General features: G+C 36.9%; 1 protein-coding gene across 8 annotated transcripts in view, besides 2 other annotated features; it reads left to right on the forward strand.

Annotated features, from left to right (window-relative positions):
• PDLIM5 (PDZ and LIM domain 5) overlaps positions 1 to 27,078 on the forward strand; it is a 216,282-nt gene that overhangs the window by 74,806 nt on the left and 114,398 nt on the right. The window lies entirely within an intron of this gene.
• Positions 7,591 to 8,515: an enhancer, noted in NCBI's record as "NANOG-H3K27ac-H3K4me1 hESC enhancer chr4:95455489-95456413 (GRCh37/hg19 assembly coordinates)". NCBI's record gives its function as "activates a minimal SCP1, AML or CMV promoter by ChIP-STARR-seq in primed H9 embryonic stem cells {active_cell/tissue: H9 hESC(primed)}" and the evidence as "EXISTENCE:reporter gene assay evidence [ECO:0000049][PMID:30033119]".
• Positions 8,516 to 9,439: an enhancer, noted in NCBI's record as "H3K27ac-H3K4me1 hESC enhancer chr4:95456414-95457337 (GRCh37/hg19 assembly coordinates)". NCBI's record gives its function as "activates a minimal SCP1, AML or CMV promoter by ChIP-STARR-seq in primed H9 embryonic stem cells {active_cell/tissue: H9 hESC(primed)}" and the evidence as "EXISTENCE:reporter gene assay evidence [ECO:0000049][PMID:30033119]".

Raw genomic sequence — 27,078 nt, forward strand, 5'->3', positions numbered from 1 at the left:
TTGAGACTGAATCTCGCTCTGTCGCCCAGGCTGGAGTGCAGTTGGCACCATCTCAGCTCACTGCAACCTCCACCTCCCAGGTTCAAGGGATTCCCCTACCTCAGCCTCCCGAGTTGCTGGGATTACAGGCGCATGTCACCATTCCTGGCTGATTTTTTTGTATTTTCAGTAGAGATGGAGTTTCGTCATGTTGTCCAGGCTGGTCTCGAGCTCCTGACCTCAAGTGATCCACCTGCCTCGGCCTCCCAAAGTGCTGGAATTACAGGCATGAGCCATTGCGCCCGGCCTGAACAGCATTCTTTTTTTTTTTTTTTTTTTTTTTTTTTTGAGACAGAGTCTCACACTGTCACCCGGGCTGAAGTGCAATGGCACAATCTCAGCTCACTGCACCCTCCACGTCCCAGGTTCAAGCAATTCTCCTGCCTCAGCCTCCCAAGTAGCTGAGACTAAAGGCACGCATCACCACGCCCAGCTAATTTTTGTATTTTTAGTAGAGACAGGGTTTCACCATGTTGGCCAGGATGGTCTTGATCTCTTGACCCCGTGATCTGCCCGCCTTGTCCTCCCAAAGTGCTGGTATTACAGGCATGAGTCACCACGCGTGGCCCTGAACAGCATTCTTAATTGTCCTCTGGTCAGTTCTTCATTCCACTTCTCACCAACCAGATTACTCTGAATTCTTCCAAACTAAGTTACCTACAAGAGTACTTTTTCAGTGAACTCTTCCCTTCATAAACTTGAAGTTTTCTGCATGAATATATACTACTATCATTTACAGACTTGTCTTAGTCCAATTTCCTAGAGCAGAGTCTGAGATGGGGATTCTTGTGCAAGTGATACAGTAAGGGATTCCTTTAAGGAAAGCAGTGAGTGAAACAGGATTGGGAAGCAGAAGAAACTGAGATGAGCAAAGGTGTGATTTCAGGGGATATCCAGCTTCACTTGATCCAGCAGGAAACTTGGGAACAAAATTGCACTACAGAGTGAGTCTGTCTTGCCTTGAGGCAATGAAACTGGGCTTTTGTACCCCCTTCCTTGTATTTGTTAGTTATTAGCTGTCAGCTGCCCTGGAAGTATGTTGTGTGAGTAAACAGAGAAGAGGGCTAGGAGGTAGCTTATATTGCTTCCAAAGAAAGTTACTGGTGTGAACCATTAGAAGCAATGGAAGAAACACCTGGGGAATTGGTGTACCAAACCATTAGAAGGGTTCCAGGAGATCTAAGCTGGGCACAGACAACAGCACGTGCTATGGGATTCTATCCAGACTAATCCCTCTGCTCAGAAGGTCGTGTTCTTTGTAATCGAGTCCTCCTCACATTGTCCTCTCCAGATCACCACCACTCATCACTGAATGCCCTTTCTTCCATTTAGGATAGGTTTCTCACCATCCTTCTCTTGCCTTTATGCCCTCTCATGAAATTCATTTCATCTGAAATGCCCACCACCTGTTCACTGCCAGTGCATGCCTTCACATCCACTAAACCCAAATCGAGTGTCTCCTGCCCACAGTCTGTTCCTACTATCGCACCTCACTCCTTTTTCCCCTTCTGAACTTGTATGAAATAGTTTATGCCATTCAGTTCAGCGTTTAATTATACACTAGGTATAATCAGGAATAACAAGGGCAATTCCACGAGTCTTATACAAATAAACCTAATTAGCTAATAGTCATACCTAGCACTGCCTATGTTATTTACTAATTATTCCGTGTATATTAGTCGTGGTTCTCCAAGAAGACTCTTTAAGAGCAAAAACCATGTTTTTTTTTACTCTATTTGTATTTGATAGCATCTTGTATAGTAGTCTGTTTTTGATAGGCACCAGTATTATTTCCCAAAGTAGGAATCATTTATCTATTTCACTAATATTTTCTGAACTCTTACTATGTGCCGGGCACTGTTATAGATTTTGGGGACATAGCAGTGAACAAACCAAACAAAAATCTCTGCTTTCATAGTACTGACATTTTAGAGGACTGAGACAGATAATAAACAAGTAAGCAGAATATGTAATATATCTCGTGTGGATATATTACACGGAATATTATAGGGAAAAATAAAGCATGTGAGGGAGCACCTTCTCACTTGGGGTACTCATGCCCAGATATCCAATAACCTTCTCACTGTGGCTTTCCTTACCACCCTATTTTAAACTGCAGTTTCCCAGGGAATTGCATGAGTATCCAAAGCAGAGCGAAGAGCCAGTGTGGTGGCCCTCTGTCAGGGAGGCTGGTATAGCCAAACAGAGTGAGTGAAGGCAGACTGGTTAGAAGTAAGGTCAGAGAGGTAGCAGGAAGGGAGTAGAAGTGGCGAGAACTTGTAGGGCCTTGTGGGTCATTGCCTTGTTTGCAATCAAATTTAAGTTTTCCAGGGCCTATGAAAACATTGCGAGAAAGCTCCGGAAAGTTATAGCTGGTTGGCCAGGGATCTAGAGCAGCGTTTTGGAGAGAAATAACTTACAGTCACGGAAAGGAAGGCCAGAGGAAGGAGCAGACCAGGTCTCCCCCAACTCAATAGTGGTGGCGCTGCCTTTTCCTGCTAGCACTGTAGAAACACTGGATGAGGACCACTGCTGCCCAAATTCTGCTCTCCTCCACCTAAGAATTCCCAAGGAGAGAACGAAACCCAGTTTTTGTTTTTGAAAAGAAAATTACCAGTAATTTTGTTTTGTTAATTTTTTTGCATTGAATATTATTCTTATATATCCACTAATTTTTAAGAAAATATACGTGTATATTCAAAATTTGGTTTCATTTTTAGGCCCAACCTCAATATCTTAAAATAGGATTTAGATAAGAAAAAGTAAGATAAAGATACTTGCTTGAGTCTGGTGGTTTTGTAACTGTTATTTATGTCTACTTTAATTTGGGGGCATATAATAAAGCAAACACATTTTCTTTCTATGACATCCTAAAAAATAAGACTTGACTCAGTATACTCTGTGTTTCTAATGAACATAAAAGTGTGAATGGTTTTATTTTGATTTGTCTTTTATCGTTGAAAAAATTGGAAAAAACATATTTTTTTCCTGGCCGTGAAACTAATTCTAGGAGTACTGCAACTGAACTATAAAAAATTCTATTTAAAATTATTTTTACTCTTGGGGAAGTCAGGCAAATAACAGTGCTTATTTTTAAATGTCAAATGTGTTTGCCTATGATTTTGATCCAAATCAAAGTGGATCATTTTTTAAAATTACATTATTTCAGTTGATACAAGAAGAAAATTACTTTCAAAAGCTTCGATGTCTAATTAAACTATTAACTGTATTAGAACTGGTTTCTATGAAAAAGGTGTTTAACTGTTCCATTTATTTCAGTAGTTAGCTACATAGTAGGACATAGATAAACTTGTTACATGCTTATTGTATGATTTAGGGCTAGTGGCTAAACTACTGGGCCTTAATTTTCTTGACTATAAAATGAGGTCATGGGTGATTTCTAAATTCCCTTTTTGTAATAAAAATAGTGGTTCTTGTTCTGGTTTTTCAACTGTAAATGGATAAGTTCCCTAGAGCTTGCTATTAGATCAAACCAACTTAAGTTTGCTTATTTTGGCTGAGAGAATCAGGAAATTGGACTTTCTTCATTGGAGTTATCTTAAACTGTGCCAGGTTAACAAAGTGACTTGTACTGTTCTGCTCACTTTAAGGTGAAAGGTAGGTCAGATGGGTATGCAAGCATCATTTATTCATCAGAAAATACAGTACTATATATTTTTATTCTTATTTTATGTTGTTAAATTAATCCTCTTGGAATCACAGAATATATATATATATATATATATATATATATATATATAGTTTTTCTACTCTTCCTTGTTTTTATATTACTAGTAGTGGCATGTCTGTGGTTTTTTAAAATTTTTGTTTCTTATTCTTCAAACTTCATTTACTGTCTAACTTGTTATGATTAGAAGTGAAAGACCTAGAAGAATTGAGTTTTGAAAAATATTGATGTACTACTCTTTCTGCCTTCCCCTTCTTCTTCATCCTTCAAACAACAAAAAGATTGCCAGAGGTCCAAATACTGCTGCTAATGAATGACAGATTGGAGTAATTTAATAGGTACATTGGATTATAAGAGAAAAGAAGAAGTAGCTGTTGTACCAGACTGAAGCTATTAGCCATCTTTTGTCTCATTTTAATGGGTTGTTTAATATCCCATTACTGTTAGCTTTATGGGTTCAACTCTGCTGTTTCTTTCACCAATAGAATAGAGGCAGGAGTTTAGAAAGTACTTTTTTCAATCGAAGTTTTCAGTTCTCTATCTGGGACATTTCAGTTCATGTGAATTAAAAGATATTTAGTTAGATTTTTTTTCTTTTAATAATTGGAGTTTCACATCATCCCATTTGAAGTTACTTTTTTTTTCTTCTTTGGTATTTCACGTACTTTTCTAGTGTTTATTCTTCAGTTTAGCTTTTACTACTTCTTCTTTGCTTATTTGTTTTTAATTCTTAGGTTGGAGGATGACAGTTTTTCAGAAGGACTAAGTCTGATTGATTATGTCCCCCATCCATCATTAAAATTAGAAATGCTGCTTAGGAGTGGGAAAGAGGACAAACATGTATTGACATGCTTTGTGAATTTTTTTTTTCTTACATATATCATTAAATCCTTATATCAATCCATTGAGGAAGAAGTTAGCCTATTTCAGGTGAATATATAATGCCTTAGAGGTATCCAATCTTTTGGCTTCCTTGGGCCACGTTGGAAGAGGAGTTGTTTTGGGCCACACATACAATATGCTAATACTAGCGATAGCTGATGAGCTTAAAGTAGTCACAAAAAAACCTCATAATGTTTTAAGAAAGTTTACAAATTTGTGTTGGGCTGCATTCAAAGCCATCCTGGGCCACATGCAGCCTGTGGGCCGTGGGTTGGACAAGCCTGGCCTAGAGAGTTTGTGTGATTTGCCTAACAAACTCAGATCAGTTCATAGCTTATGCCCTCCTTACTTTCTTTGCTGTGGCAAAGGACTTAATGACTAGTCTCCTAGTAGATATTTGATAAGATGGGATAGATGCATAATAGGGGTCACTCTTCCTCTACTTATGAGCAACTGCATCTCTGTTAAAAAGTACTTTTCATTTTTTACTCTCCCCTGTCAGTATTCTGTAATAAAAATTATACCTAAATTATTTTCTGTGTGCTTTAAAAAGATCCTATATGTTAGAGTGAAAGGAAAAAGGGGGGGAAAGCTTATAGGTTAATGGGCCACTAGATAGAAACATTCGTTTGGATACTGACTTGTGTATATGGTTTCCCATCCTAAGCCAGAAAGTCATCTTTTATTTTTTTCTTCCAAATTTATAACCCTATTGACTATATTTGCTAGTTCATTCCTATGCTTCTATGTATGCATTCTGTGAGTAACTAAAAATTCTGGAATTTTTTAAAAAATATGTTTTATGTGGCTGACTGCCACAACTACTACTTGAGATCATCATTACAGCAGTTACTACTGTTACTACTTGAGCCATCATTCCAACAGTTACTACTGTTACTCCTTTAGACCATCATTATGAGACTGAATGAAGGGACGGACGAACGTAGAAATGAAAACTTTAGACAAAAGTAACTATTTTAAAGGAAAGGCTAGCATGGGGAAGAAGAGAGAAGAAGAAAAGGGCTCCCTGCTTCTGGTGAGCAAAGGCAGCCGCCTAAGCTTCTACAGCCCTTGGTATTTATTGGGTAACAAGGGCAGGGAGGAGGAGGTAACAATTAGTCAGCTGCTTAATCCATCACAGGTTCATATTGTTACTAACAGGCTTCAGTTATGCCTAATCATAAGAAACACTTGCGCCTGGGTCGTGACTGCCCTCAGCAATCCTTCCGGGTGGCAGACGCAGTTTGTCAGTTTGCCAATATTCTGCATTTATGACAGTTTGCTGCTTACTCATATAGCCTTCAGTGGTATACTGAGTTGATCACAACCCTCACTCTTTTGGCCTCCAACAGTTTTAGGGGCCAGGCACTGTGGCTCAATGCCTGTAATTCCAGAACTTTGGGAGGCCGTGGTGGGCAGATCATTTGAGGTCAGGAGTTCAAGACCAGCCTGACCAACATGGTGAAACCCCGTCTCTACTAAAAATACAGAAAAATATTTAGTAGGATGCGGTGGTACGCGTCTGTATTCCAGCTATTGGGGAGGGTGAGACAGGAGAATTACTTGAGCCCGGGAGGCAGAGGTTGCAGTGAGCTGAGATCGCACCACTGCACTCCAGACTGGGCGACAGAGTGAGACTCTGTCTCAAAAAAAGAAAATATGTTTTAGGGACTGTTTCGTCAACATCACGCACACTGGAAGAGACCATAATTGTCAATCAACAAATCAATCAGCAGACATAGAAAATAAGTATTTATCTTATATATCTCTTTTTCTTCAATTCAGTAGGCCTTAAAGATTGTTGGAAATGGACTTGAAGGCACAATTTAATTCTGAATAGTCTGTGGCAGTTTGACAATAAACAGATCTGATAAATATGGGTTGGTTAGGATGTATTTTGTATTGTGAAATTCTTCACTTTGACTTTACATCTTGAAAGTTTTTTTTTAACATATGAAAGTCTTATTTATTTCTCTGAAGGAAAACTTACTTCAATCTATACTCCTTTGGGAAAGCAATCCCAGGAATAATATGTTTAAAGATCTGTTTAGTTTTAAATCTTTAAAAATTTTTTTGGATCACACCTAAAATAGTCTTTGCAAAATGAAATTTTAATATGTAGAATTTTTAAGGTCCATGAAATAGAGATGTAAAGAAGGTGAATGGCACCAGCATTGGCTTTGAAATTAGGCAAACTTGATCCAAATCCTGGTTTCACCATTTCCTGGCTATGTGACCTTAGGCAGGTTATGTAACTGAGTTTCAGTTAACCACTTGTACCTGCCTTCTAGGGCTTTTACACAGGTTGAATGAAATAGCCTATGTAAAGAACCTAGGACATAATAAAGATGAGTTTTCTCTCTTCCTATTTCTCTCTTCAGTTAATAAGTGAGTATTAGTACGGTATCCATTGTAAAGTACTTCTAGAGGACCATATTTGTTTTGTTTCTTGGCAACAAAAATGGGTGTGGCTGAGGGAAAGAGGGAGAAACTGAGAGAGGGAAATCAGTAGGTCATTACCTGACAAAGTCAGAAAGATAATGATGCAAGATTTAGAAGAGAGGATTGCTTAGTCAAATGAGTGATTTTGGATCATGTAGATGTAATTAAAGCTTTTTCGAAGAGTATAGAGGATGCAAACATGTTTACTGCCAGCTAATTACTGCTTTGGTTCAAAATTATTGTCTAAACCAATAATTTATGGCCCATCTGGCAGGAAAGATAGTGGCAGCAAAGAGAAACCAGTACACACCTAGTCTTGTTTATTCTGCTAACTCCTCGTGTTCATCTTAGAGGAACGATGCAAATGTAGTTCTTCTTTACTGTGGGTTAAGTCAGAAAGACAAACAAAAATGTGAGTTTTTTCTCTCATTTTATATTCATGTATATTCCCTTTAAAGTAATTTTCTGAGTAACATATTAAAATCAAGTAAAATTACTAACTTTTGGAACATGTTTTTCTGATACTTTTAGAATAAATTTTCTTTTAAAACCCTTCCTCAGGACTACCATTTATTACTGAGGTTTAAAATTTCATAATGTTCATTAAATTTAAAAATTTGGACTTTTCCTTCAGATTTACATTATGACTAGCAGCCATAAGAGGTGGACATAAAGAGATTTATAATCTTTGCCCTTAAAGAATTTATAATCTCTTTATTGAGATCGGGAGAGATAGAATATGCTACAGGGGTTCAAAGGAGAGTTAAAGATCCCATTCTAATGGAAAGCCTTTGTGGAGATGCAGAAACCTGGGCTAGGCTTTGAAGAATGAGGTTAAATGAAATAGCATATGTAAAGAGCCTAGGACATAATAAGGATAAGTTTTCTCTCCTTTCTTCCTATTTCCCTCCTCAGTTGATAAGTATTAGTATGGAATCCATTGTAAAGTACTTCAAGAATATCATATTTGTTTTGTTTCTTGGCAACAAAATGGGTGTGACTGAGGGAAAGAGGGAGAAACAGCGAGGGAAGTCAGGTAGGTAGTCGGGTAACTACTTGACTTCCCTGACTTCCCTCTCTCTGTTTCATATTCAGATGGAGGAATATCCTCTTGAAGTAGTATGGAGATGACAAATCCCCAAGCAAATGTTGACCAACTGGAAATAGAGATAAGAATGAAAGAAAAGTGAAGTCAGAATACTAAGCCTTGCAGGGTCTTAGACACTGAGGTATTATTGAAAGCTTTATCAGAAAAGTGACATTTTCAGGACCATATTTTGTAAGACTGCTTGGAAAGAGGTGGAGAGAGACCAGAGGCAGGGAGACTAGTCAGGCAAGTATTGCAGTAACCTGGCTTAGTGACGGCTTGAAATAGAAAGCAGGAGAAATTAGAGAAGTGAGAACTGAGCAGTACTTCTGTAAGCCACAGTCGTGTTCTGGATAGATGTAGAATGAGGGAAGAGTCAGAAGTATCTCAGGATTTTAGCCTGCTTAGGCCCAGGCTCAGTGTTCTGCCCCTTTCACCTTCCTCTTGCTCTTCTGCTCACTGAAGTCTGGCTTTGCTCCTGTCATGTTACTGAAACTGTTTCTCACTAAGATGTATTACAGATTCTGCAAGTTCAATGTGGGCAAAACTAAGTTCTATGCCTTGTCTCACAAATTTGTGTCTCCTGCTGCTGCACTTGGTGAACGGCCCCACCATTCACCCCATTATCCAGATCAAAAAGACGCCTTCCTTGCCTGAACCTCCCACTTTCACCTGTAGCCACCTGTTCATTAGCCTTTGTATATATGTCTCAAAACAGACTAGGAATAGAGTAGAGGAAATTAGTATGGCATCACAGCATGGTGGTGGAGAGAGACCCAGGTCCTAGTCATTATGCTTATATCTTGAACGAAAATGTTTAAGATTCGTGTTTCAGCATATACTAATTAAACACTTGCTGTGTGGATAGCTGGGGATAGAAAGGAAGTTCTCATACCTGCTGTGGAGCTCACAGTGCTGGGCACTGGCTTCTAACCTTACATAAGGTCCTCTTTTTTTTTTTTTTTTTTTTTAATGTCAAGTGTTTTATGGACAACCCTTCCCCCACCACATTAAGATAATAATTGTATTTTTAGTGGCTGGAGATTTTATAAGTATTGTATTGCAGTTTTAAATGAAGATGTAGATTTTCTACTTTGATATGCAATAATCTACATTTATTTAAAAATCCAAATATATTGAAGATTTATGCAGACTTCATTCATGGATCACTGGTAAAAACTTAAAACTGTGTGCTAGTTACCTCCAGCTGCCTCAGGTATAGCTTTATATGAGTTGGGACGCACAGACCAAAAATATTTTAAGCCATCTGGAGGTAGAGACAGGGAAGCAGAGACACTCGCAGGAAGGGAGAGACTGAGGAGAGACAGCATGAGGGTGAGGAGTGTAGCAGAGATAGAAAATCCCAGGCCGGAAGACAGCTGAAGGAGTAACATGAGAAGATTCTCCTGGCCACATCTGTGTATTAGCAGATTAAAAGGAGCCTGATTCTATGACATTGGATTCCACCAAGTTAACTTCACCTTTATTGTCATTTTAAAAATAAAAATAGCTTAATTTCAGTTTTAAAATGAGAAGTACTCAATATTTCCTGGATGAAAAGGAGTAGCTGAATAAAATGTGGCATGCTCACAAATTAAGTGGTAACAGAGTCATACCCAACCCTTCAAAAGCAGAAACAATATGTATTTATTTATTACCTACTCCAGTGCCTACCACCATGGCTTAGATGTAGTCATAGAAGATACCAAATATATATTTATTGCTTTGAGTTGTAGAGTATGCCACTTTTATAAATATGGCAATTTTTGCTACTGTTGCCTGATAAATTTAGAAATCATTTACAAGTTATTAGTGAGGTAAATAGTGACAAGCTGGTCATTGTCCTTTAGTTAATGGCAGCAGTCTCCTTAGAGTTCCAGATAAACATTTTTGTCCATAGCTCAAGGAATTTTTGAAAGGATTGAAATTCAAGTCATTCCCAACTGTTTTCCAGTGGCTGTTGTTGCTATTATAGTCTCAAAGACTGAAATAGCTTAGGCTTTATGTGAGTTGAAAAGTACATGGGAGTGATTGGCCATGCAAAACACGGCAGAGTATTTACACTGTCAAATTCTTTTGTTTAATGTATTTTAAAGCCTGCATTTTCATTGTAAGTCAGCTTTAAAATAGGTTTTCAAATGTTACTAGTCCTACCTAATAACTTCTTTTTACCTGCCGTGATCCCTGTTAATACTCTTTCTCTGAAATTGAAATGCGGATGAAAAATGGTCTTTCATTCATTTTTTTTGTTTGTTTATGAACTTTTAATTTCTTGGGTAATATAGTAAGGGTTCATTTCCACATCACAGTAAAATTCACAGGGAATAATCCTGCATTCAAATACCTCTCTTACAGTCAAGTCTGCCTTTATCTTGGCTGTTCTGGCTGAAGTTTATAGCACTTTTTCCTGTTACAATGAATGTGAGGGACTTTCCAGATTCTTTTGTTTTACTGGAATTAGGCTTTGAAATAATAGGTTATTTATTAGTCCAGAATGTTTTCTTATCCTGAGAATTTCTGGTACACAAATTATTCTTAAAACAGAAAAGTATTTTTATGTTTTGAAAGAAAAATTTTACATTTGAAGAGGATTTAAATAAATAAATTATAACAATATTCTTGATTCCAAGAACTTTAGATAATAGTATTTCTTCTGAGATATGAGAGAAAAAGTGTTCAAGTTGTTAGGGAAGCAGCTTGTTTTTTAGTGCATAGTAGGAATTTAGTAAGTAAAGCATATTAAAGAAAAAGGAACTTAAACACTTTAAATTGTTACCTCTAAGAAGTTACTGAGGTAGGAACTTTATGTTCATTAGTCGTGTAATCTTAATAGCAACTTATTATGGCAGATATTATCATCCTACTTTACAGAGAGTTAAGTAAGTACTTCAGAGTCACACAACTTGTAAGTAAATAAGCCAGAGTTCAATCTCAGATTTCTCTCTTAATGTAATGATTTGTCTGCACACATCTTTTTAAGTACAGAAATTTTAAAGTATTTTTATTGCTCAGTAATTATAAATACTTCTTCTCTAAAAGTTGTTTTGCTTTTCCAAATACAACACAGTAAGAATTTTCGCCATTAAATTTATTTCATAGGAGACAGAGAAAGGGGCAGTTATGAAGACATTTGTTTGATATTCCAGTCATTTCAAATGCCGTGGAAACTTCTAGCAAGGAGTCAACCCTGTTAAGAGTATTAACAGGGATCACATATTTTAAAATTCTTTGAAAATTTTTGCTTTATTAGTACCTTACAAAATATTCCAGTATCAGTATTACCTCATTCGTTTCCTTAGCAGCTCCAGTGTGTGCATTCTCTGAATACTAATTAAAGTAGCTTTAATATGATCTTCATCTGTGAAACAGTTTTTTAGTTGAATTACAATGCATGGTTAAGTTTGAGTATTGAGAACAGACTTCATAAATTCATAGCATTTTAGAGTTTGAAGCAACTCCAGCTATTAACCAGCAGAGCCCTTTATCTTTATTTATGATTCAAACTTTCATTTTGATTTGTGTAAAAGATTGCCTACTGTGACAGCTCTGTGACAACTCTGTCACAGTAGTGACACAGGAATTGGAGTAGTGTGGTGGAGGAGGGAAGGAAGAACAGATTGGTATTAAACTGTGGTCTTAACCTTTCCACCCTGTTGACCTTGCTCTGCTGCTTTCTCCATCTATTTTGTGGACTAATTACAATGTTCTTTTAGGTATCTCATCTGTCAGTATCTTATGCTGAGATTGGGAAATTCTGGATTTAGTGGTAAATTGGTTTATAGCAAATACCATAACTATTAAAGAAACCAGCATGTTTTCCATTTTCTGTAACCTTTTCTTATACTTTCTTTAAGTTGTTTATTTTCCTGAATTTCTTTCTTTCTTTAGAGCCTCAAAATCCCTCCACTTGATTCTAGGGTGCCAAAATGTCCTCTCTCAACTGTACATATGTAGAGCTTGAATAAACCTTATGTAACTGAATTAAAGAAATTGGAAAAGTGTTGATGTAATGACAGATTGGGATGAATGATGATGGTAGGAGAGAGCAGAGTAGCATTGTTTAGTCACTGGAAGTTTGAGATTATGAAAAGGAAGAATTTTTAAAACTAAGGACAGTGATAAAGTTTGCTGGGATCTTCAAGAAGAGAGATCCTAGTTTAGAGGGATTCCATGATTAAAAGACAGGGCAAGTAATAAGTCAGTACAAGTACTCAGTTTTCCCAGGAATCAGATGAGATGAGCTGGACTGGAGGTTGGGATCAAGCATAGATTAGGAAAAGAAGCTTGAAACGATTGTACAAACCTTAGTAATACGTGAATAAGTAACAAGATGAACAGAGTTCCCCAAGAGTACTTATATGTGTCTATGTATAATATATATGTGTCTATTTATAATATGTAATTCATACCCCGAATTCATTTGCAGTGTAGAAAAACTGTTACATGTGCTTTAGGCTGAACTTGTCGGCTAAAGAGGACTTATATGGGAAATGGAAGAATGCAGAAGAGGATTGGGGCCACAGAGGCCATGATATATGAAGGAAAAAAAACACTGTCTTTTCCTCATTTCTTTTCTTCCTCTCTTCTGTAGGCATTTATTTAACTACAGTGGTATGCCAGGTCTACGGTAGGATTAGGGAATAGGTAGATAAAAGAAATGCATCTCTCAGTTCAAGAAGCTCTTAATGGAAAGAAACAGACATATAAAGTGACAATATTTATAATACAGGTGGACGATTCTCAGAATGTAGGTATGTACAAGTAGCAACTGGAACAGAGAGAAAGGAGTGTAGAGGAGTCAACATGTTCCAGGAGATATTGCATGAATTAAAACTTAAATATAGAATTTGCTAGGTGGTTGATAGTAGGAGGAAAGAGGCCATTCTAGGCAGAGAGCACAGCTTAAGCAAAGGTGCACTCAGTTCTGAGAACTTGTCAGTAGTTCAGTGGGGCAAAAATACAGATTTTTTGAGGGGACAGGAAGAGTTGGGAGATGGTTAGAGGGTTGGGAGGGTTCAGATTATAAAATGTCTTGGCTGCCGTGAGTAAAATTTTGAATTTCATTTCTAAGTTAATGGGAAACTGTGGAAGAGTTTTTTGTAAGGCAATAATAAAATATATAATAATACTACTAATAATAATACTTATAGAGCAGGTAATGTGTGTCAGACATTCTTTTAAATGCTTTACATGTAACTCACTTAATCCTTTCAAGAACTCTGTGAGGCATAGATGCTACTATTCTTCTTTTTTTTTTTTTTTTGAGATGGAGTCTCGCTCTGTCGCCCAGGCTGGAGTGCAGTGGCGCGATCTCGGCTCATTGCAAGCTCTGCCTCCCGGGTTCACACGCCATTCTCCTGCCTCAGCCTCCTGAGTAGTCTGCCACCATGCCCGGCTAATTTTTTTGAATTTTTAGTAGAGATGGGGTTTCACTGTGTTAGCCAGGATGGTCTCGATCTCCTGACCTCGTGATCCGCCCGCCTCGGCCTCCCGAAGTGCTTGGATTACAGGAGTGAGCCACCGCACCCAGCCTATTATTCTTTTAATAAAGATGAGGAAGTAGAGGAGCAGTGCCTAAATAATTTGTCTAACGTCACACAGCCAGGATGAAAAACACAGGTATTCTGGCTGTGTAATATGTGTAGGGAGAGAAAAAAGAGACCAGTTAGAGGAGACTGTTTCACAAGTGTAGGTGGGAACTAATGAAGGCCTGGGCACTAGGAGAGAATTGGGGTGGAGGAATGAGAGTTCCAGTGATGAGTGTTGAAAGTCCTAAAACTGGTTGAGTGACTTTCTTTTGAGCAGCTGTGCTGATCCATGTCTTATTGTTATTGTCTCTTTTCCATTGCTTACCTTCTATTTAAAACCTGTTCTGCTCCTTTTGTTTAGTATTTCCCTTTTCTTGCCTCCCATTAGCAACACAAATATACTCATTCATTTAAAACTTATTTGTCAGCTTTTGGTTGGTATGAGTCTGCATTAATTGTTGTGCAGTTACAAAAAGAAAAAGATACAGAGTACTCGCCTTTCAGGAGTGTTTGCTGTAGTATGACAGCTAAGTCAAAACCTGTAACAGAAGTCAGTATGAGAGAGGTCATCAGAACGATACAAACTTCTGGGAGAACCATGTACCATCTGCGTGTATACTTCATCTTCCTTCGTATGTCTAAAACTGTTTGAGGCAAATTCATGTGGGCTGGTGAGATCCCCAGCTTCCTGGTTTCTCTAAGAAGGTCAGAGCTGGAACCTCTTATGCCATTACACTTTCTCTCTTTAGGGATGTAGGATACTTAGTATCTCCTAACATACACCACTTCCCAATTTTCCAATGTCTTGGCCTTAGGAAAAAAAAATGTCGTCCATGTAAAACCTCATTCACACCTGCCACTGGACTGAAAGTTCCCTAAGGCCAAAGGCCATTCCTCTTTGGCTTTCAGTAGTATGCCCTGGCATTTTCTGCAAACTTACCACTTGATGGGTGCTAAAATATGTTTTAAACTGAGTATTGCACCCAACGGATGAAAATTTTCTAAAAGTGCTTCTATCAAGAATTAGGAAACCAAAGTATAGAAATAAATGAAGCTGATAAGCATAAGTTTGTGATGCTAAATAAAATTACACTGAAGTCCTAGCCACAGATTGGCAAGGACAGTTTTGTGGGGGCAGCCCCACATGCCATAGCCCTCTGCAGGGAGCCATAACTTAACATCCCCAGGTTTAAATTTTAAATTATATACCCAGCCCCTTGTTTTGTCCATTACCAGTTGAGAAGTGAGGTAATTCATTCTCCTTTCTACTGCTTCTGCCCATGGTGAGAACAGAACTTCCATATACATCTTCTCTGCCCAGCTGGAGGGGGCTGATGGAGGACACAGCTTCTGTCATCCAGCGCCTCCCCTGGGAGTCTCTTTACTGATTGGTCTTCATTTGATCTACATTAGGTCACATTTACTGATGGATGGAATAAACTGCTTTAACAGAATCATGGTCTCCAAGTTTCACTTCACCTTCTGTCCTCAGGTGTGGCAGGTGCCCTGGCCAGAGCCTGCTATTCTCTCCGGCTTCCTGTTTCTTTGTGTCTTTTATCTACTGTTCTGAAAAAGTGAATGGAGTCGGGGAGATGGGAATTTAAAGTAAGAGGCCCGGCTGGGCATGGTGGCTCATGCGTGTAATCCCAGCACTTTGGAAGGCTGAGGTGGGCAGATCACCTGAGGTCAGGAGTTTGAGACCAGCTTGGCCAACATGGTGAAACTCCGTCTCTACTAAAAATACAAAAATTAGCCAGGTGTAGTGGCACACATCTGTAATCCCAGCTACTTGGGAGGCTGAGGCATGAGAATTGCTTGAACCTGGGAGGCAGAGGTTGCAGTGAGCCGAGATCATGCCATTGCACTCCAGCCTGGGGGATAGAGTGAAACTGTCAAATAAATAAATAAATAAATAAATAAAGTAAGTAAGTAAGTAAGTGGTCCCTCTTTGCTCTCCAACACAAGATGGAAGTCTGTATATTGGGCCTTAAAGGGAGATTACATTTATTATGTTTATTAAGGGGTACATTTTTTTCTCATTTGCCTGCTAGTTTTTGGTAGGCCATAACCCTGCAGAGAAGGTTTCAGTGATACATCTTACCTTCTAGGTAAGAGGAGGTTTGGATCTCTTCCTAATCAGTAGATTCTATGGACTGCTCGAGTGGCTAAAGTGTCTCTTTGGGTTAGAAGAAGAAATTGTTGTGCTTCAATAGTGTATACTGTCCTACACAAGCAATATTTCACTTGTTGGAAAATGAATCTTTTTTCTTTATTAAATGATCCACCCTATTTTTATAATTTCAGCTACTTCCAGTAATCTCTAATTCCTGTTATTTCATCTATTTAATAGGAGCGAATGCTACTTTTCCATGGTTCCTGGTAAATTTAGCTGTAGCTAAATTAGTAAAATAAATGAGAAAAATTATTAAAACAAAATTGTTTCCTAAAAACAAAGTTTAATGGTTATAATTACTAATTTAAAAAATATACTTACTGGGGCACTAAATACATTTTTGTAATTCATTTCACAAGGAGGAAAGACATATGTGATGTTTACCACCCTGGGAAAATGCAAAAGTGGACAGACTGGTCAGCCCCTCATATATTTTCATTCATTAGTAGTCATTACTCGGATGAAGGTGCTTTGCATACTACACTGTTTTATCAGATCCTTTTAAAACTCTTTTTGGGTACGATACTAGTTTCCTGTGACTACTGTATAAATTACCACAAACTAGGGGATTTAAAACAACAGAAATTTATTCTCTCCCAGTTCTGGAGGCAAGTCCCAAATCAAGGTGCTGGCAGGATCACATTCCCTCTAGGAGAATCCTTCTTTGCTTCCTCCATCTTCAGGTGACTGTTGTCAGTTTTTTTTTTAATTATTTCTAATTTTTTAAATTTATGAATAAAAGTTGTATATGTTTATCATGTACAACATAATGTTTTGAAATATGTATACACTATGGGATGGCAAAATCTAGCTAATTAACATATGTATTATCCCACATTTACCAATTTTTTGGGGTGTGAGCACTTAATATCTATTCTCTCAGCAATTATCAAGAATATACTACATTGTTGTTAAGTATAATCACCATCTTTTACAATGTCTTCTGAACTTATTCCTCCTACCTAACTGAAATTTCATATCCTTTGACCAACATCTCCCCAGCCCACCTCCATCAGTGACCACCATTCTATTCTGTGCCTCTATGAGTTCAACTTTGTTAGATTCCACATAGGAGATCATGCGGTATTTGTCTGTGTGTGGCTTATTTCACTTAACATAATGTCCTCCAGGTTCATACATGTTTTCACAAATGACAGGATTTCCTCATTTTTAAGGCTGAATAGTATTCCACTGTGTGTGTGTGTGTGTGTGTGTGTGTGTGTGTGTGTGTGTGTGTGTGTGTGTGTGTTTTCTTTATCCTTGCATTTATTGATGGACACTTAGGTTGATTCCATATTATGGGAATACAGATATCTCTTCAGTATGCTGACTTCATTTCCTTTGGATATATACCCAAGAGTGGGATTGTCGGATCATATGGTAGTTCTATTTCTAATTTTTTAAGGAACCTCCACAGTTTTCCATAATGGTTGTACTAGTTTACATTCCCACTAGCAGTACGCTAAGGGTTTCCTTTTCCTCACATCCTCACCAACACTTGTGATCATTTTGGCATTCCTTGCAGTTGCACCACTCCAGTCTCTGCCTCCTTGGTCAGCTTGTCTCTTCCTCTTAGTCTGTCTGTGTCCTCTCCTCTTTTGTTTCTTATAAGGACATTCGTCATTGGATTTAGGGTCTACCTGAGTATAATCTAGGATGATCCCATCTCAAGATTTTAAACTTAATTACATCTGCAAAGACCCTTTTCCCAAATAGGTTACATTCATATGGTCTGGGTATTGGGATATGGACACATCTCTTTGGGGGGCCACCATTCCACCCATATAGGTACATATTCTTTTTTGTTGTGTTTTGAAGACAAAAGCATAGATTTATTGAAGCAAAAATACACTCCACAGTGTGGGAGTGGGCTCAAGCAAGTGGCTCAAGAGCGGTACATATTCTTATTTTCCCAATTTTATAGAGATACATTGAGTAAGCAGTGAAGCTGGCACTGGCCAGGCATTATGACTAGGAGCTGCGCATCTCCACCACCACACTGTGATGGCATGCTAATTTATTCTGATTTGTAGAGGGTCTGTTTTGAGGCATTCTCTGTATGAAATCTAGTCCTTTATTTAATTAAGGATGAATTCACTCACTCTGCTGCCCAGGCTGGAGTGCAGTGGCATAATCTCAGCTCACTACAACCTCCGCCTCTCAGGCTCAAGTGATTCTCATGCCTCAGCCTCCCGAGTAGCTGGAATTACAGGCATGTACCACCATGCCCGGCTAATATCTTGTCAGCTTTTGCTACTGCTTAGGTAACCTCTGTTTTGGGAAGTATGTGCATGAGATTTATTGATGAATCTCTTGATGCAAAGATTAGCAATACCTTGCCATGGTTAAATCCAGCAGAAGAAAAGGCTACTTTGGCAACAGCATAGGCTTGTTTTTCTGGTTAATGAGACCAATCAGAAATATCAGAGTTCAAACCTGACTTCATCACTTACTGGCTATGAGGAAGTTACTTCAACTCTATAGGTTTATTTACTCATAAGTTAGGAATTCCTATTTTGTAGTTAGTTTACTTTAAAAAGTTAAGCCTCAATTTGATAGTTTGCCTAAATTAAGCATATAAATATTTTTAAAAATATAGTTCGAATGTCTGTGATTTTCTTCAGGCTTATTTATAACTCTAATGTAGCAATAAAACTCTTGAAACCATTTTTTACATCACAAATGATGGAGCCTGCTCCTTTAAATTTTTACAACTCTAATATGTCAGCATCTTTTGTTAACCATGTACTCATATAATATCTTTTTAGAAGCCCAAATAATATTTGCTTTGCCTATTTGTGGTATCTCTCTCAACACACAGTGGTTTCATTGTTTGTGTATGTTTTTCCGGGGGAAAAAAGGATCATTTCTCTTACTCAGTGCCTGACACACATACCAAAAATGGAAAAATTATGAGAAAGAATGTTGCTCAGATCACAACATCAGATTATTGTACTTTTGGCATTTTGTGGCTGATAGCCCCTTCCTAAGAAGATATTCTTAAGGTTGGAGGTCACTGTTTCTTCTTAAGAGCACTGTATTCCAATTTTGAATAATATTTCCTAGACAGGAAGCACGATCATCTTTCATTTTTATAGTCATTTTTTAGTAGATGATTGTTGAGATGGCTGGGTGCTGAATAAAACAAACTGCCCTAGTCTAGTTGTTCTCTTATTGTTGTGTGCATTTCACACTTGTGTAAGCCTATTTGTTAAGGTCATGGTAGTTAGATGTATTTTTCATCTAATTTCTTATGGCCTGATATTTTTTCCCAATATTGTTTTTTCTTGTCCTGTTAAATCATTGACAACTGAGCAGCCTTCAAAAGTATATTTTTATAAAAGTGTTTTTTGAAATATGTCTTATTTCATGACATTTTGTAACAACTCCTAGACTATTGTCTATTCTATTTGTCTTAAGTGGAGCTATTGATTATATAATGCAAAAAGCTGTGAGGTTGTAACTCAGTTCAGTAGTATTTATAAATATTTGTTTTCCACTTTTGTGCATATTATACAAATGATGGATATAAAATTTGTTTTGACCATTTATGATGCTTGCTTTGGGAAGAGGATATCCTCATAGAACTGAACGTTATGATGGATTTTTAAAATATTCTGACCCAAATGATATTGCATTGTCAGTACTGTCCCTGGTTATTAATTTCTCCTGGAGTAGAAAATGCTTTGTTCCTTACTATATCCCATTTAAACCTTACCGCCTACCTTACCCCACCCGGCCCCACACATCTATATACACACAACCTCACTTCTCTTCCAAGCGGAATAGTTGCTCATTGGAAGTAACAGTATAAAAAAGAAGGTAAACTTATCTAGAGAAGCATATTAAGTAGTTTTTTTCTCCTCTTCACATTCACTTCTTAAATTGTTATCAAACAAAAGCTATTAGGAAATCTTTGGAATTTATTATTTTCAAGAAGTTCCAAACAGATTCTTTTTCCTAATACTCTTTAGGGAAATATTTTAATGTGGCTTAATTATCTATCTAATATTAAATACAAATTAAATTTGCTATCATCAATAGAAGATATTTTTATTCATAGGAGTTCTTGATTTTCACAATACCTCTTCTATAGCTTGAAGTATTTTTTAAAATATAAAGCTAAATCTACGGTAAGTGGTGCAAAAACACCAGGGATATTAAATTTTTTAACGTTAGTGTTATATATATTACTTAAAATTTTTACTTAATATGTTCAACCCTAGCACTCCTTCTGACATTAGGCCCCCCCCACCTTTTTCAACCTGAATATTCAAGGGATTTAAGGTATTTGAAATTGCATGTGAATTATTTTGTGGTTATATTAATTAACATTGTAACATCTAGGTTTTACACTTAACTGTTAATGATCTTAGGGCTTAAGGAAAAAAAAATATATATCTAAAGTTAGTGGTAAAACTTCAGTTATCCCAGAAACCCCAGAACATGGTTAATTCTGAATAACTGAATTTGCTAGGTAAATTGACATCAAATACCTCAATTTAAAAAAATGCTTACTATAACATTTTCATAAAAGTTTTCCAAAAATTATTTACCTGTGTATTAGTTTCCTATTGCTGCTGTAACAAATTACCAACTTAGTGGCCAAACTGCACCCCCAACCCCCCAAATTTATTATTTTACAGTTTTGGAGGTTACAGGTCTGAAATGGGCTTCACTAGGCTAAAATTAACGGGTCGACCTTCCTTTCTGAAGATTCTTGGGGAGAATCATTTCTCTTGCGATTTCCAGTTTCTGGAGACTACCTGCATTCCTTGACTTGCATTGTTTTTGTCTTCAAAGGCAACAGTGACTAAGGGGTCTGTCTCACATCATATCATCCTAACAGTGACTCTTCTTTCTCCCTCTTCCACATTTGAGGGCCCTTGTGATTACAGTAGGCCCACTGGATAATCTAGGATAATCTTCCTATTTTAAGATCATCTAATTAGCAGCCTTAATTCCATCTGGTACCCTAAATTCCCTTCTGCATGTTAATGTAACATATTCATAGGTTCTGGGGATTAGGACAGGGACATCTTTGGGAAGCCATTATTCTGTCTAACACATTTTGTCTTCTGAAAGGGTAAATTATGTATACTGAACTGACTGTAACAATGTAGATTATGTGAGATAGGAGATCTGACTGATGCATTTTATTACCACCTGTTTGCCAGAATTATATTCAGACTCCTTTCTAGACTTCTTCTCATGTTGGTTGGTTGGTCTTGTAGTTTCCTAGTACTTTATGCAGGTGACTGCACTCCTACATTGTGGACATTTTCTATACCAGAGTCATTCAGGACTACTGTTGAGAAAATGTCAGTGTTTGCCATCTCTTCTCACTCCTGGTAAGTACAGTCCTATTAAGTAATCTTTTGGTTGTTTACTTTTTACCAAAAAAAGGCCTGTTCCCATCCTTATCTATCATCAAGTCTCTCACCATTATCGTAGTTGATATGTCTTAACATCTAGTCATTGAGGGTGCTTTTATGACACTTTTAATTTTACCCTGATTTTCTTGATGCCAACTGTACTCTGTTCTTTCACACTTTTTTGTGTGTGCTCGAGCACTTTTGTTTTCTTAATAAAGAAATGGAAGTTTGAGTAACTTACACAAGGTTACTCATCAATAACTGATTCAGGATTTGAACCCAGGCTACTTAATTCAGAAGAGCCCATACCTACCACTCAAATGGATTGCCATCCAACATTCATTCCAAACTCTAAGCCTTTACTTTTGAAATCCATTTGTCCTGACATTTTTATAAAGAAGTCTTTAAGACTAGAAGGAAAAAATACTCTGAACATAAATTTATTTACTAGCAGGAAGATAGGAATTAGATGAAATACTTTCATTTTGCTTCACCCTCTTAGAGGTCTACAACAGGAAATTGGAGAGATATTGCCGATGTTTTAGTAGATTCCATAGAAAGTTCATATACATCCAATTTTCAATTTAGAAAGAGGTAAGGAATTGGATTGTTTTCATGACATTTTTCTAAGGGAAGATAAGAGAGGAAATAAAGGGGTGAACCAAAAGACATCAGATATAAAGTGCCTGTTTACTCCCTCTGAGTGACTCACATTATTCTACTTTAAAAACATGTTAGGAATTCATCTAATCTTCTTTAGGGCACACCCACTTCCCTCTAAGCTTAGTATAGTTCACAGATAAATTGGTCTTTCTCAGCTCACCACTTCTGCTATGTAGTTACCTTGCCAGTGGTGATTTGATGTCCCGTGGCTGGCCATGCTCTTCCTCTTCTGTCTCAATTTCTTCCTTATATGTATAAATAAATACCTGACTCACAAGTGTTTTGCCTAACCCTGTGCTTTCCATTGCCTTGGCAATATTTCTTGAGTTGAAAAAGCCATCTAAGGTGCTAAGTTAAAAGAAAAAAAAAAGGCCTTATAAGGTACTCAGGATCTACACGAGGTTGTTAATTCATGTTTTGCTTTAATTGGTTACTCTGTTTCCTATTTCCTCGGTTTCCAATACTTGTTTGTAGAAAACATCAGTTTTGTGTGTATTTGCTCTTGGTCCTAAAGTTAAGGACACTATACGCAGAGTTAATTGACCTTCATTTGTGTGCCAGCATTCTGGGGTGACATAATGCCTGCAAGTGTCATATTCTTAATATGTGAGGGGGTTCTATATGGAGTACAGGGTTAGTTGCTAAATAACCTCTGTACCCCTTTTTCTCTGTCTCGATGTATGCATTCTCATTCTCCTGTAGATTGCCTATTTGTATGTATTCCTAGAAAAGGCCTTCGATAGGACGTCTGTAGGGTTATTCCCTTCTAAAGGGAATGGTTATACCCTCTGACCTATCAATTCCATTTCTATAAATTTATCCCATAGATATACTCACAAATGTGTAAAATGAAGTATATTTGAAGTAAATTATTAAAGCATTAAGAGCAAGCTAAATGTTCATCAGCAGGAAATGGAGTCAATATATCTTCGTCTGTCTGTATAATGGAACAATATGTATTATTATGAACAGTTTTTGAGCAAATAAAAATAAGCTGAAGTTTAAAAAGTTGAGTTAAAAAAGCAAGGTGTAAAACAGTGTGCGTAGTATCTGTGTACGTTTGTAGATACTGTACACACATGTTAGAGGGCAATTTGGATAAAGTATTCTGTGCTCAATTAACATATTTTCCCTTTGTCTTCCTGGCTCTACTGGCTTATTACCAGTAGCAGTTACTCGGGAGTTACCCAGCTACTCAGGAGGCTGAGGCAGGAGAATCGCTTGAACCCAGGAGGTGGAGGTTGCAGTGAGCTGAGATCGCGCCTGGGTGACAGAACAAGACTCCGTCTCAAGAAAAAAAAATGCTTATGTTCTGTATAAAATCTTCAATAAAATGACGATACCAGTACCTCATATTTGTATAATGATTTACAGAATAGAAAGCTTCATTTTATATAGTTCCTTACATAAGTCAGTGGTATAGTATCCAGCATACACATAAACACATATATTAAATATATGGAAATTATATAGTAATGTAATAATATATAGTTATATAATGATTCAGTAGAATTGTCATCTGAATACATTTTTGTTGTTTGCTCACTTTATAAGGTTTGCTTCAAGACATCTCCCTTGTCTTAAATATTCTTCTCTTAAGCTATGATTGCATATGGATTATTTTTCTATATAAAATACATTTTATTCTCACTTTTTAGATTCAAAGTTAGGACATTTCTGAAAGATTTATGTATTATCTATTTAATAGAAATCTTTCAATTACTTCCCAATGTGTAAAGAGTAAGTGAATAACAGAAAATGAGAAATTTCAAAGACTTGGTAGCAAGCATTTAGCAAATGCCATTGTCCTTGTAAAATTATTTTAAGCTCTATCTGTTGTCACACACTGAAAGATGCAAGCAAACAGTGTGGCTTTGGCTAGAGCTTATCATTACTTCTCAGAATAACTTTGGTGTATTATCTCTAGTAGCATTTTAGCTTAGTTGATACACTTCAAAGTACCCGTTAGACACACCACAGATTGACTTAAGCTTTGATGACTTGCAAGTCCATAAATATCTCATTTTGGAACTCTAAAAGTTTGGAATTCTAAAACTCCAATTTTGGAATTCTGTGGTGGTCAACTGTAATTATCCATACTTGAGGAGCAAAAGGGAATAGTTCTGATGTCTGCAATTAATGATGGTTTTATTTTTCATATTGAAAATTACTTATCATAGAATTTTGTCATCTTCTTGTACAAGCATTACTAGAAAGAAGGTCATGAAAATAGTATGTGACTTTTCTTTGAAATATACTCACCTAAACTGGGGTTGAGGTCTGTATGGCAATAAAATTAAATAGATACAGAAAGAAGTAAGAGAATAGGAAAAATGCTAAGCAAAAAGAATAAAAGCTTGAACTTAACATACCAATTTAAAATTCAAAAGGAAAGGCAAAGGCCCAAGAAAAGGTTAGAAAATTTTGAAGAACAAGATGAAAGGATACCCAATTATGTATCACAGTATAAAGCTAATGTGTAACTGGTGACATGAAACTATTATCATTGTAATGCCTCTGCTAGAAAAGATCATTTCTATCTCAGGGTTTTATAGCTAGTCTGGTTCTAACTCAGTTAAATCCACAGTTATTTTCTGTGAAGCGATATTATTTATTAACATTATTTAACAAATTTAGCTTATTGTATACCTGTTTAATGCCAATAGTGCTGCCAAAGGCTAAGGTTAGAAAAATTAGTAGTCTGAAACTACTAGATTTAACTCTGTTTGCAAAGAGCCCCATAAATTACTTGTGCTAAAGCTGGACCTTAATAAATTTATAAGTTTGCAGTAAATGAAAGGGTATCCCTTGAATTCTCCCAAATCAAGACCCTGTAACTTTATTGAGTTTAAAACGCTTGAAGCAGATTACTGGGTTTCATCGTCAAAGATTTTTAATTCTAGAGACAAGTTTTTTTCACTTCATAGCCCATATTTTTAACCGCAACCCTGTATTGCTTATTCATTTCATCTCCCCAAATAAACGTGAAGATCTTTGGAAGAAGGAGTCACTTTTTATTCAGCTAAGTAGTATTTCTTTCAATACATGAAAAAGTCTTGACACACAGGCAATGCTAAAATATGCATACACATGAGAAATTAAATTGAGGCAAAATAATGATTACCTAACCAGCTACTGTGTCTGGTATATGACCCATAAAGGAAAAAAGTGGTCACAACTGAGGTCATCTCAGAAAGAATAGTTTTCCTGTGTAGTTGAGCGTAAATTGTTCTCCAAGATGATATGGAGAAGTGGAAGAATGTCTTTTTTTTGGCTTTAGGAAATACATTATTCATTCTCTACAGAAGGACTGATTGACTTTTTTCCTGTATATGAGGAACGGATTATTAGGCAAAGATATTACGTAGTAAAGTTTACTTAAACTAAGGTAAGATTTTGGACTGTGCCTAATGATTTGGAAGCTTACTTAATCACTATTCTCAATAGCTACCTAATGCCCAAGAGTGTGACTTTGTAGCTAGGATGAGCTGTGGATATATATACAAGTTTTTATTACTGCAGTTGTAAAACAAAGACTTTGATGGCTATTTTTTATGTATCATCACAGTTAACTATTTTCAGAATCTTGAGAGGTTTAATCTCCTTTCTAAGTCTTTTATTCCATTTAGTGACAACTGTTTTTTGACAATGTAATATATACTCTAGTATAATTTAAAAATATCTACAAGTTGTCAAGTTGAATGGCTGAGAGATTTGTTTAAAGAAATGTGGGCAACATTCTTGTGGTTGGAAAAAGTAAGGGAAAAATGAAAGTATTGCTTAAAAGCTGTTTTCAAAGCTTGCATTATGAAAGGGATTATATGTGAGATTTAGAGTCTTTTTAAAATAAAAAAGAAATAGATTAAATTCCAACTCTATAAATATTGTCTTTATATTTAAAAGCCCCAAAGAGGCTGCATTAAAATTAATTTCTGATTACGCATATGATCCCAATAGAGAATTCATTGACCAATTGAGTGCAGATAAATATAAAAATCTCTCTATAGCAAAGTCTACTCTCGGTAAAATTATGTATACTAATATATAAATATAAAGCCCAAATATGACATTTTTCATAAGAAAAAAATATAAGTAGAATCATAGAGAAGGATAAGATCTTTTCCCCTTAGATTTTGCTTCATAAAATAGTAGTAGTAGAAATTGATTAAAAAAGAGTGATCTAATTTTATATGGTGGTAGCAGAAAAAAATGCACATCAGGGTAACATCAGGCACATCTATGACATGGTCAGAAACTCTAGAAGGGGCAGGGCAAGATAAGGTGACTTTGGTAGTCTAGGTTGATTAGTGCATCTGAAGCAGGAGAAGAATAGCTAGAAGTATAGTGTCAACTAATACAAGAAAAACCCCAGTCGTTTCTTTTTTTGCCCCTCCCCTTACCTGGTCTCTTTTAGCAGAGGCAACCAATGACTTCTCCTAGTATTTACCTTTATGTTTCTAAATACTAACCATCTGCTAACTTTTAAATTATCAGTTTTATTATTATTATTATTATTTTGAGACGGGGTCTCACTCTGATGCCCAGGCTGGAGTGCAGTGGTAAGATCTCCGCCTCCCAGATTCAAGCAATTCTCCAGCCACAGCCTCCTGAGTACCTGGGATTACAGGTGCATGCCAGAATGCCCGGCTGATTTTTGCATTTTTAATAGAGACAGGGTTTAGCCATCCTGGTCAGGCTGGTCTCGAACTCCTGACCTCAAGTGATCTGCCTGCTTTGGTCTCCCAAAGTGCTGGGATTACAGGCGTGAGCCACCGCACCCAGCCAAATGATCGGTTTTAGTTATTAGCGTCTGACTTCCTTTTGCGATAGTACTTCTCTTGCCATCTTCTTGGTATCATCATTATTTAACAATAAATTTTAAAAATCCGTATTCAACTTTTTCATTCTTATGGCAATGTAAATATTCAGTGCTGAGCCAAATTATGGGAGAATCCAGTGTATCAGAATTCAATAGAGAATCCACAGGGTCCATAAAGAGCACTTGTGGTTATTGTGGGCCCTAAAGAAGTGTGTGAACCACTGCCCCACTCACTGTGTGGATTACCTTAGTGTGTCGTGTGAATGATCCTGCAGCTCATCCCTCCTTGCCAGATTACAGAGCTCTCCATGTGTTATGTTTACCACCTGCATGTTTGAAATCCATTTCTTACCAAGAAATTCTGTATCAAGAAATTCAGCTT

The sequence above is a fragment of the Homo sapiens genome, chromosome 4, assembly GCF_000001405.40.
Source record: "Homo sapiens chromosome 4, GRCh38.p14 Primary Assembly".
Classification (NCBI taxonomy): Eukaryota; Metazoa; Chordata; class Mammalia; order Primates; family Hominidae; genus Homo; species Homo sapiens.